The sequence below is a fragment of the Homo sapiens genome, chromosome 2 (assembly GCF_000001405.40).
Source record: "Homo sapiens chromosome 2, GRCh38.p14 Primary Assembly".
Taxonomy (NCBI): domain Eukaryota; kingdom Metazoa; phylum Chordata; class Mammalia; order Primates; family Hominidae; genus Homo; species Homo sapiens.
In genome coordinates, this window is record NC_000002.12 from 133,519,673 (window position 1) to 133,533,100 (window position 13,428).

Here is a 13,428-nt window from a genome sequence, read left to right on the forward strand (position 1 = left end):
TGCATTGAGTGCCTACTGTACAGAAGACAGTAGGAATACCCTAGGAATACTGTATGGAAAACAATCCTTACATGTTAGTGACACAGTCATGTACAAGAAAAACAAAGTCCCCGCCTTTGTGGAACTCATATTTTAGTGAGGCATATAGAAAACAAGCAAACAAACAGCTCTAAACTGTGGTAGGTACAGTATGAAGGAAATAACCTCCAGCAGGTGGTGCCAAAGTGCCAAGCGGCCGGGCACGGTGGCTCACACCTGTCATCCCAGCACTTTGGGAGACTGAGGCAGGCGGATCACGAAGTCAAAAGATCGAGACCATCCTGGCCAACATGGTGAAACCCCATCTCTACTAAAAATAAAAAAAAAAAATTAGCTGGGCATGGTGGTGAGCACCTGTAGTCCCAGCTACTCAGGAGGCTGAGGCAGGAGAATTGCTTGAACCTAGGAGGCGGAGGTTGCGGTGAGCCAAGATCGCGCCACTGCACTCCAGCCTGGCTGGCTACAGAGCGAGACTCCATCTCAAAATATAAAAATAAAAATAAAAAGAGAGAGAGGACCCATTTCTTAGGAAGAAAATAGCCAGGAAGAGAATGCGTGAAAAAAGTCCTGAGTTACAGGCAAAAACTACAGAGGCTTGTAAGCTAATGTATCTCTCTCAGCTCTTATGCTAAACACAAAGGTTAATCTTAGGTTTTAAATTCCCTACCTTACTCCCTACTAGCAGGTAACATTCAACAAATTATTTAACCTATTTAAGCTTCCACTGCTTACTCTATATGACAGCATTGATAATAGGACCTTCTTCATAGTAGGGTTTTCTGATGATTAATGAGACAAGCCATTGAAATAGTTAGGCTGGGGACAGATACAGGTAGGTAAGACTTAAATATTAGATATATTGATCATCCCTTCTGGCAAATATGATTAAACTCATTAAAAGCAACTCTAGCTACTGAACTTTATGCTCCTTCACAGGCAGATGAGGCTGTCATTTTGGGAAATGGGGATCCTTTTGATAGTTCTCAAATAGTCCAATCTGCCTATGTGGAAAGCTGATTTAACAGCTTTCCAAATGGATTTGGTCCATTTCTTTTCATATTAATGGTACCAATAATATAGGCAGATATAATATTCAAATGATTTAGCAACAATATGGCATAAGGGTTGGCCAATCATAAACGTACAGTCCAATCAGGGCTGACAATGGCAACAAGCGGTACAGTTAGAGCAGTGTATCCTAGCCAATTCCCAGCCTAACTACATGTACTGGCCCCACTCCAAGAAGGTGAAAATTTGTGAGTTAGACCATAAAACAATCATGGAAAGGTTCAGAGTAAATTTATCCAAGTGGATCAAAGGAAGACTATCTAAAAGAAACAAAATGGCAACCAGGATGCAGCAATATGAAAAGGAACCTGATTAACAATGAAAATATCAGAAAGGCTGAAACATTCCATTGATCGCACTATTGGGAAAAGACTACATACATACAGCAGAGACTGCAGATCCAGGGGGGAAATGAGTATATCATATCCTAAAGATGCCTGGGATTACCTGGGCCATTTGTACCATCCATCTAACTCAACTAATTCAGAGACTAGTGTCATCAAGTAACCTTCCAATTTTATTTAATTCCTATGCAGTATCACTTATAGAAGAAGAATGTGCTGACCAGCAAATATCAGTAGACAATCTTTTGAAAAACTACATTTCTAGTGCAAACTAAAAATGACAGTTTGACATCTTACTCTTTATATTTATTATTTACCTATTTGGTTAGCATATTAGTCAGCTTGAGCTGTCATAACAGAATAACACAGACTGAGCGGATTACACAACAGACGTTTATTTTCTCATAGTTCTGGAGGCTACAAGTCCAAGATCAAGTGCTAGCAGAGTTAGTTTCTGGTGAGGCCTCTCTCCTTGTCTTGCAGATGGACATCTTCTCACTGTGTCCTCACATGGCCTTTGCTTTGTGTGTGCACATCCCCATGTCTCTTCCTCTAAGGACACCAGTTGTAGCACGTTAGAGCCCCACACTTATGACCTAATTTAACCTTAATTACCTCCTTAAATGCCCTATCTCCAAATACAGTCACATTGGGAGTTAGGGGTTCAACATATGAAATTTGCAGGAGACATGGTTCAGTCCATAACAGTTATTTTCAGTCAGGTTTCAAATCACATCTGAGTGTTCTATTAATCAAATTCCTAAGTCTAAAAAACTAAGGGAAACCTCCGAGTAGTGGGGCTTATGGTGGCTACCTCCAGACTCCACACCTCTCTGCTTGTTATGTGACTGTTGGATCTTACTGCCCCCTTTCCACCTCACCTTGCCCTGCTGTACTCTTCTCTGTATTGTGCATGTACAGATGCAAACATGATCAAGACTTCTTGGTCAGTGTGTTAATGTTGAATTCTGCTAATGGGAGGCAGTGAGAGGAGATTAGAAGGCAATGGGAAAGAAGAAGCCATTCTGCTTCCAGCTCTAGCAGAACAGCATCAACAGCAGGTGACTGCAGGCTCCAGCAACTTCTGTGATTCCTCCAATAGATCAGCTAAGAAAGGGCACCAGCAATGCCCCAGTCTGTGGGTACCGCCACCTTATCCCTCTGGCTCCTCCAGCCCTTTCAACACCATCATAAAAATTCCTTGCATTAAATCCCTCTTTGCTTGAAACATCTACAGTAATTTCCTTTTTCTAGGCTTGACAATGTTTGATGTGCACCCCATGGAGATGCCTTTGGAAAGGCAGCAAGCCTTCCTTGGGAAATACCTGGATTTGTTATTGTCAGTCTTCTGAAATAATAGTCTGGAATTATTTTCTAATAAATACTAAGCCTCTAGAGGACAGAGAGAGCATTTTATGTTCTGTGTTCCCCTAGGTAGTATAACACCTAATGCATAGCACATGAAGAACATTTGTTGCTTGCATAAATAAATGAATGAATGTTCACAGCTGTCTTTGTGAACATATAAAGAGCAGGGCAAAAATACAATTTTGTTTAGCAAAGTAATACTAGACACATTTACAAGAGTGAGGTTGCTTTTTAGCCAAGCATATTCGGATACACCCAAGCCTCAAAGAAAACATTTTGTCATGATTTTGAAATGTCATCAACCTAAAATCTATTTACCTGCACCTACAAAGAGCCATAACCGAGTAGTGTTAATGTCTTTTCTATGTCTTCCAACATCTCTGGTTATAAAAGAATACATATATTCCTCAGAGCAATGGGTTGGAGGCCTCTCCTTCCCTCCGTGGGGAAGAAAACGGTCATGGAGTTGAAAGAAGACAGGAAATTAAGCATCCTTTTATTGACTGATAGTTATTGATACTAATCTTCCCTTCCCCCTCACATACACCCATCTCTAGCTAGTGAAACTACTTCTACTCAGTATCTGTAGAAATCTAAGTTGGCCTTAATAACTCTTTTTTTTTTTTCAATTTTTTCTCACAGTTAGTAATGGCCTTTTCATGCTAGACAGATTTTTAACCTTTCTAAAGATGTCAGTAAATTCTATTTTCTGATATACTTCGTTAACAGGCTGTATAATTTTCAAGAGAGTAACAAAACCGCACCATTGAATAAAATCTCAAAGGCATATCCCCTCACATACACACAGTCACACACACACACACACACACACACATACTCACTCACTCAGACACACACACCTGATCTAGACACCACTTTCTCCATCTCAATTTCTGCCTTTCTGATTCTGCCACTTCCCATCCCTGCTTTCATATATTAATGGTATTGCCAGAAGAAATGCAGAAAAACAGTAATGCCAAAAGGGCTCTCTTGCTTAGGCATTAGAAGATTTGGTTCCTAGCTTTCTTTGCCATGTAAATTTGAGTAGATTCCTAACTTCTCTGAGTTTACATTTTTTATGCTTTTCTCACCAGGTCATTGTGAGGTTTCAATGAGATAATGCCCCAGCAAGCTTTTCCACATCTAAATTCAAGATGTTTTCCGGTCAGCTTCGTTAAGCAACAAACAATGCAAAATATAATTTTTTGCAGCCTCATAAACATCCCGAGAACAGAGACTGTGTCAAATTCATTGTTATATTCCCTGCAGCATCCAACGCACCAGCTCCCACACGGTAGGCATGCAAAGAATAACTGCAGAGTAGAGCACATCAAGGACAAATAACAAACACAGTAAGTTTCCTGTCGTTGACAAGGCAGCTCCATGGGTTTTCACCCTGGTTGTACCTTAGAATAACCTGGGGAACTGTTAAAAAACATATCAATGCCTAGGTCCCACCAGATCACTTGAATCTCTGGGGTATAGGCTGCAGGGATCAGAGTAAAAACAGCCAGGGTTGGCAACCATCAGTTAAGAGCAGTGGCTGTCAAGCTTTGCCGCATGTTAGATGGAGTCACCTGGGGAGTCATTAAGGCCCATCCCTAGATGGAATAAATCAAGATCTCTGGGGGTGGGAACCAAACATTATTATTTTAAGATTCTTCAATATTTCCAAGGTGCAGTCAATGGAACACCAGTTTAGGAAGGTGAAGATGTCAGTCTTTTCTTGATCTCCGTCCTCTTCTCAAAGGCTGAGGGACACATGATTGTTGGTAGCAGCAACTACCTTTCCTTAGCCACCATACCCAACAATTTTTAATCTGCAAACCCTGACCCCAAAGAAAAGAAATGTTAGATACAAACAATTTGGATAAATACCTTTATCCGTATCTCCACTCTCAGGCTCATCATTCAAAATTAAGCTGCTTAAGCTGATCCTTCTTTTCATTAAGAAAACATTGTTGACTAAAGGTAGAAATATTAAATCTAGATTCCAAGTTAATGTACGTATATCATAAAACCTCAGAGTGAGGTCTTCACGTAGAGTTTCAGGGAAAGAACTTCAAATGGCAAGCCCAATGTTGCAGAAAACCATGACTCAGATGCCCCCAAACCCACGACCTCCTTTCTTCCCACTGCTCTCCATGTGCACCTAGCTCTCTTTTCAAAGTGCTACCAAATAGAATGTTTGAAACTCCAGTCCTCTTTGTATTGAAATCTTTTTATTCTGATTTATTAAGTCCATAGAAAGGAAAGCACTGGCTTTCTGTATGCTTTAAACACGTACCTACAGCAGTCTCATTTTGGAAGATATATCAGCTCAATAACTTTCTCCTATTGATACAGCTATTTGTGGTATAAATGGGTAAGGGTGTGTTTGTGCATGCTTATGTGTATGTGTGTATGTGTTGAGTCTGCATCTGTGCATGTGTGTTCATGTGTGTATGAGCATGTGTGTACATGCGCATGAGTATATGAGTGTATGTGTGCATGTGTGTGTGTATTCACATGCACTCTGACAACAAAACCACCCCCACACAGAAAAGTGTTGTGTCCATTTTGAATATGAGTATAAAAACATGCCAAATGATGTAATTTTCAACCATAAAAATTTTTTAAAATCCTACCAGCCCCCTGAAACTGATTTAGAAGAAGATTAAATGCTAACAAATTTCCCAAATGTGGTATTCATCCTTGCCAGATAAATTAGTGGCTGGAAATAGTCTCAGAGAGACATGACAACAACCCTTTTCTTTCAAGTGGAGGAAAATTCTGCATGATGTTGAAAACTGGTTTTAAAAAATTGTTTCCTACATTCATGCTCACTAAACGTCTCACTAATAATATTCAGTAGCTTCCGGTTGATGGTTTCAATGCCAGACAGGCCCCTAAGAATCACTTTCCCATGGGCCCCTCCTCAGATAAATGGCTATGGCCAACACAGAGAACTCAGGGAGCTGCACAAAGTCTGGGTCTGGAAATCTTGTCTATTTTTCAACATGCAGCTCAGTGAACTGGAGCAGTAAAAAAATTGCTATGAATCTGAACTAAGTTTCTTAGGAAGAGAGGTCAGAGAAGAGAGGTCAGAGAAAACTTCCAATATTCAGTAATTTCTCTCACTATTAAAACAAATTATTGAGATATAATTCGTATATCATATAATCCACCCTTTTAAGTATACAATTCAGCGTCAACCCTTCTAATACCAATATTTATTCATTTGCTGCAGAAACTGGGGATTATGTCTCACTCTCAGTGGGGACACAAAGAAGTTTCCTCATCACTTCTTGAGGCCTCATCAAGCCAGCTGTCCCATGTCACCATCATCTTGGGTAGCAGCATCCTGGACAGGCCTGAGTTCACATTCTCCAACTGCCACTTACAAGTTCTGTGACCTTGAGCAACTTATTTCACATTTCTTTGCTCTAGTTTCCTCACTGATAAAATTAAGATAATAATAAAAATCCCCTTAACAACGTAACTCTGGGGATTAAAATGATTCCTGTTTTAAAATACCGGAGTAGATACTCTGTTGGTATAATCACTCAAAAGAGTTCCATTCATTCAAAATTAAGTAATATATATTCTATACCTATTTTGTCCCAGGCCCTGTGTTAGGCCCTGAAGATTGAAAGAAAAACAAAAGAAGAAGGGAGGAACAGAGAAAGGGAATGAGGAAGGAAGGAAGGAAGGAAGGAAGGAAGGAAGGAAGGAAGGAAGGAAGGAAGGAAGGAAGAAAGGAAAGGAGGGAGGGAAGGAGGGAGGGAGGGAAGGAGGGAGGGAGGGAAGGAGGGAGGGAGGGAAGGAGGGAGGGAGGGAAGGAGGGAGGGAGGGAAGGAGGGAGGGAGGGAATACATGTCCTCAAATTTCAAGGAGACCTAAAATGTAAGAGAGGGAGATTTATATATTGATTAGTAAAATGCAAGATAAAATAAACATGTGAATGAACAAATGAACGAGCACATGATTTGAGCAAGGAGGATTCACTTTTTATTGAGCTAACCCTGGAGGACTTGCCTTTATTGTCATTCCTGGTGTTGCCAGCTGATTTCCAGACACAAACTATTGCTACATCTTCAATGTATGAACTAAGAATGAAGAAACAGAATTGCATGGGCTTAGACCAGGGTAAGCGTTTTAGCTCTGGCTGCTCTTCTCAAACCATCTGTTCCTTCTCTCCCACTCTTCCTTTGTAAAGATCTCCCCCTGCACCACCACTCTTTCTTTCTTTCCTCTGACTCTTCTCCATTTATTGCCTTAAGGAAGATTTATAATACATTACATAAAACGTCTACATGTTGCCTGTGAACTCCTAAAGGGAAGGTCGGTATAGAAACAAAACAGATAAATACATTTTATAAATAAATAAATAAAATGTACACATAACCCCAGTGGATTGGAAGAATATTTAGATAAGTGGCTAGGGAAAAGAATTTTCACACTGTGTCATCTGCTAACATTAATGAGTGAATTAAATTAGAAAAATTCCACTGCCAAAAGCAAAAACATCCAAATATGTGGGATGCTGGGGGAATTATAGACCATGCTACTAAATGCATTCTGTTCAAGCTTACTTTTTTTTTTTCTTTGAGCAGGCTGTGGAGAGCTACACTTAAAAAGCCATCCAATTTCAAGACAGTATTTTCCATCTGGGGCCAGTTGGGTAGAATATGCTCTAAACTCTGCAAAGCCTGCTGAGAGACAACACAACTTGTTAAGAAAACTGTTTATGAAAAGGGATGTTTTTTGAAAATCCAGCAAAAGGTTTAACTATGATGTCCCCACACATTGCAGAATTCATTATTCTCCATTGAATGTCTTTGTGCACAAGTGAAACACCAAAATGACTCAGGAAATGAGTGCAGTACAATAAATTGGAAGCCAGTACATTTTTGCTAAGGCCCTAGCTGGTAATTAGAATATTTCCAATTACCTAGGAGCTTTTTTTTCCACTTTAAGAGGTTATTCATTCTTCATGTATAGTAATCTCCCTCCACCCACCCACCCCCCAAAATAATCCCGATGTGAAATGCTAAAAGCCAAATCAAGATTAAGAGATTAAACTTTAAAACCAATTAACATACTGAAAACAATAGGAAGAATTTTTAGTGAACCAGAAAATATAGAATGACATTAAAGATGTCCTAAGTAATAATGGCTGCCAAAATGAAATGTATGAGAAAAATCTCTAAGATGTTTATCTTTTTCTACTCAATGATTTAATTAAATTGAGACTGATATTCATTTGTTGAGAGGGCAGCGGGCTAAACTCCCTCAAAAAGGTAAAACAAGGCCAGGTTCGGTGGTTCATACCTGTAATTCCAGCACTTTGGGAGGTCAAGGTGGGAGGATCACTTGAGCTCAGAAGTTCAAGACCAGTTTGGGCAACATAGTGAGACCCCTGTCTGTAGGAAAAATAAAAAACTAGCCAGATGTGGTGGCACGTGCTTGTAGTCTCAGCTACTTGAAAGGCTGAGGCAGGAGGACTGCTTAAGCCTGAGAGGTTGAGGCTACAATGAGTTGTAATAATGCCAGTGCACTCCAGCCTGGGTGACAGTAAGTCCCTGTCTCAAAAAACAAAACAAACAAACAAACAAAAGACAGTAAACTAGTCAATGACCACCCACTAAAATGGATAGCTAGAAAGTAGAGTTAGGTTTTACACACACATATATGTGTGTATACAGACATATATATATATTTATACTATGCATACATATACACATAAATACATACATGTGTATATACACACACATATAGTCATTTCTTTTCTTCTGCTTAGAATTTCCACCTAGTTTTGAGCAATAAAAATCAAAACTTCAATTACTGGGCCTTTTTTTTTTTCCCATGTGTAGGTTGTTTCTTTTTATTCAGGCTTTGAAGGCTCAGGAATAAAAGGAGTTCTATGGATATTTGGACAGACCAGTGCTTCTCAAATGCATGCATGGGAATCACTGGCAGATCTCGTTAAAATACAGATTCTGATATAATAAGGCTACAGAGGAGCCTGAGAGTCTGCATTTCTAACAAGCTGATGCTTCTGGCCTGTGGGTTGTACTTCAATAGCAAAGGATCTGAAACTTAAAACAGAGAACTTATCTATGTACATGTAATAGCGGAATTCCAAGCATTTTCTCATAAAGCTATGCACAGCCAGCCAGTTCTTATGATGACTTAGTTCTTTGCAGAATCCAAGACAACTATGGCTTAGGTTTTGCCCCATGATTCTCGTGTTACCCTTCACTCAGGACATTTGGAATCCTAGAATCTTAGGTTTAAATGATGCCTTCCCGGCCCCCTCTTCACCTACCCATCAGTACGGTTACTGCTTCTAAGACAGGCCTCACTAGGGCTTGCCCATCTCTTCTTGCCGCTTCCAGTGACAAATGGGTCACATTGTCTTTCGGAAGAGCCCCTTTCACATTTGGCTGTCTCGAATGCCTAGAAAGTTTCAATTTGTCTCTTGGATTTTCACCTACTAGCCATAGCTCTGTTCCCTAGAGCAAATATAATTTTTCTCTTACTCAAGGAAAAAAATCCCAAGTTTCTTCCACATTTTCTCTTGTGAGAAAGTTTCCACAGCCCATACCCTCCTAGTTACAGCCTTTGAAATGTTGTAGAACTTGGCCAATCTATGAGATAATTTTTTTTTATTTTGTAAAAAACATACCATATTAAATGCATTTATTTTCTTTGTAAAAGATATAAGCTATAACAAATGTATATAGAGTATAATATGAAAATTGTATACTTTTACTCTCCCTCTTTCTACTCTTCTCCGCAGAGATGCTTTTAACAGTTTTTCTATTTGTTTACCTATATACATATATATTGATTTTTCTCTTTCTATATAAGTGGCATTGACATCTATTGTTCCGTGACTGCATTTGTTCACCTGATATATTCAACACCTGGGCCTAGTTCAGTTTTTACAGCTTCATAGTACTATAAAACAGATTATCAATAAATTGCTTATTAACTTATGGGTAGAAATTTAGATAGTTGTTTGTGTTTTCTGATTCTAGACCATCCCACCATGAGCAAGTCTATGTATCTGTTGTGCCTGTGTGAGTTTCTCTATAAAGCATAGATCTCAAAAGATGGAATTATAGTGTAAAATTTTAAATTTGGTTAGAAATTGACTAATTGCCTTCCAAAAATATTTAAGAATATGTAAGACTACCTGTTTTCCATAGAGTTATCATAGCTGAACAGAACCAATCATAAAGCTTTTACAAATTTGTTGGTAAAATAAGTGACTTCATTGTCTGAATTTATAATCCATGATTATTGGTGAAGCTGGGCATCTTTGTTTTATGTGTGGTTATCTGAACTATTTTTCTCTGGATTGCCTACTTAAATTATTTGCTCATTCTCCTATTGCCTCTTCCTTTTTGAGCTCTGAATACATTTTGAATATTAACTCCTTATTAAGAGACATTGCAAATATTTTCCCCCCAGTCTACCTCTTGTCTCTTCACTTTGTTATGGTATAGAATGTTATAATTAATTTGCAGTCAAATGCATCAATCCTTTATGCGTTCTAAATTAAAAGACCATTTTCCATATGTCTTCCTAATATTTTTATGGTACCATCTGAAGATAATTTTGTCTTGTAAACCTACGTAAAGCATAGGTTTAACTTTATTTTTAAAAGAATATAAATTCATTGATTCTGTGATTAAAGTATTCCTCCCACGGATTTGAAATGCCCCCAATCATAACAAAAGTCAACATATGCACAATCCTTTTCCTTGACCCTCAAGTAAAAAAAAAAATAAGCTAATCTATGCACCTGTCCTTGTGCCAATATCACACTGCTTTAATTATGAGCTTTTAGTAAATTTTGATGTCATATAGGCCAGACTTCCCATGTTGTCTGTTTGGAATTTTTCTTGGCCATTTGTGTTCATTTTTGTCTTCCATATCAACTTGAGAATCAGCTCATCAGGTCCAACAAAAAGTACCATATAGGTTTTTATTAAATTGGATTGAATTTAAATTTACAGATTATTTAGGAGAGAATTTACATCATTATATTCTTGAGTCTTTCCATTCAGCGACATGAAATGGGTAGTAGATTGTTTAATGGCAACAAATTCCTCCCTTCCTATGATGCCCAACTCTCTTTTGAAATGTGTCTTTTATGCTCTTCTAGCTTAAGGATGGTGCTCATTTCTCCACCCCTTGAATCTGGTAGGGCTTATGAACCTTTTGACCAATAGAATGTGGCAAAAGGGAAACTGAGTTCTAGCACTAGGCTTTAAGAGGTCTTGAAGCTTCCATTCCCTCTCTATGAACCCTCAGGCTATCATACTGAGAAGAAGCCCAGTCTAGCCCACAAGAGGGTGACAGCCACTGGAGGAGAGGTGACAGCCACACCAACTGCCAGATACCTGGTCAAGGCCACTGTGAACCCACCAGCTATAGTCAAATACTGAGATAAACAGAGGCTGATGAGTGATTCTAGGTGAGAACAACAAAAGAAATACACAGGTGGTCATCCCATGGAATCAGGAGGAAAATCAGTCATTGTTTTAAGTAACCAACTTATTGGGGTGGTATTTTGGGCAGCAACAGATAATTAATTTGGGTCACTGTGTTGTTCACATCCTTCAGTAAAGGATGTGAAGACTGAAAGAAAAAAAAGGAAGAAGGGAGGAATGGTGAAAGGGAATGAGGAAGGAAGGAAGGAAAGAAGGAAAGAATGTAAACAGCACAATGACCCAAATTAATAAATATTTTATTAATAACTTATTTATTAATAGTTATTGCATTAATAAATTACTTCAATCATTAATTTATTGAATTAATAAGCTAATTCAATAGCCTTTGGGCATAATTTCTTTAGATACTAAGTATGTTTTATTACTCTTGAGAATTATTTACATTTTTTTCTACTTACTTTTTCTAATTGGTTATAGGCAGTGCCAGAAATAAGCCTATTGATTAATAAACTTTAAACTTCTGCTTAGGTAACTTTCTGAGCACTCTTTCTGGTTCTAAATGTGCTTATTTTTTTCTACTGGATTTTTTTACATAGAAAATTGCAACGTTTTTGGCTTTTCCTGTCCGATACTTACAAGTCTTGTTTCATTTTCTGGTCATACAGCATTGACCAGGGAAGCAAGTTTTTAGCAGAAACTTTTGCTCCTGACTTCAGTAGAATTAGTAGTAATGTTTTTATCCATAAGAATGGGATTGATTTCTTTGTAGCTACCAATTACCAGATTGAGGAATTTTTTTATACATTCTTGAATCTCTATAGTGCTTTAAAATGTTTCATTTTTAAAAAGTTAAACATACTGAAAAGTACATAAAGCAACAGAGATTCATGTACCTACTACCCTGTATTTAACACAGATTAATCTTGTGCCATATTTGCTTTAATCTTTCCTCTCTTTTAAGTAATAAAAGCACTGTAGATGTAGTTGTAGCCCCATTCCCCTATTCTATCCTACCTTCTCTCCAGCAATAGCCACTCCCCTGTAGTAGGAAAGCATTCTTGCTGTGCATAAATTATATTTCTACTGTGTATGCATAAACCTAGAACGATATACAGCACTGTTTTATGTGTGTTTTAGTTTATGTACATATGATAGTCTACTTTCTATATTCAGTTGTAATTGTTTTTCACTTAATGTTATAGCAGCAAGATTTATCCATGCTGATAAGAGAATTCTAGTTTATTTTTAAATACTTTAGGAATCCTATTGAATGGACTTAAAACGGTTTACCCCAATTCCAAAAGAATGGGTATTAGTTGTCTTACATTTTTTACCATTTTCACATTGCAAACAGTAATGTTGTGAACATTCTTGTTCTGGCATCCTTGGATCAGAGGCAGAAGATTCTTTCTCATATGGGGAAATCCTTGGGTCACAGGTTGTGCACATGTTTGAGTGAGAAGGCAGTGCCAAATTGCTCCCCAAAAATGACTGTACTGTAGCAATTTATACTTATATCACCCATGTTAAAAGTTCTTGTTTTTCTCTTTTATTGAAAATAAATGCTCGGTTATTTGGGTAGTTGGATCAGATGGGCTCTGGCAGTGCTAGATGAAAGCCAGTGCCCCCACCCTGACTGGATTACTGTTTCCTTTACACATTTATTCAGGGTTCCTCCTATAAGAAGGAGCTACATTTGACAGGAAAATATCAGGCCAGGCATTAGTCTTTCTGAGTTCTTCCTTTATTTCAGTATATATGTAATTTTTATTGCCTGCCTGCCACCCAGAATTCTTTAATTTTTCCCCCTAATTTCACCCCCTTCACTATGAAATTTTAATACCACAGATTTACCGAATATCTGTTTATGTACAGATATGTGTGGCTTCTGAAAGGCCATGGACTATTATGATATTTTAGTATTTTTCATTGTCCCAAGAACCAATGCTCACCTTCATTGAGAATGTTTCTAAGATCCAAAATACTTGCAGGTTCATAATTTTTCAGAGGCTAGAGGGAGGTGGAGCACAATTCAACTTGATTCTCTTACATAATCAGCAGGGCTTGTGGCTCTTTTGATCAAAGAATGTGGTAATAGTGACAATGAGTTCTGAATTATTTCACTAGGGGCACACTCATTTAAAGAAGTACCTTATGGGGAA

General features: G+C 38.2%; 1 protein-coding gene across 14 annotated transcripts in view; it reads right to left on the minus strand.

Moving 5' to 3' along the window:
• Nucleotides 1–13,428, minus strand: part of NCKAP5 (NCK associated protein 5) — a 1,003,049-nt gene that overhangs the window by 847,885 nt on the left and 141,736 nt on the right. Inside the window, exon 3 of one of the 14 annotated variants that reach the window (XM_011511097.4) lies at nt 7,394–7,513. The exons of the other annotated variants lie outside the window; for them this stretch is intronic. The gene's annotated coding sequence lies outside the window, so the exon portion shown is untranslated. The remainder of the gene's footprint in view (nt 1–7,393; nt 7,514–13,428) is intronic. 14 annotated transcript variants of the gene reach the window in all.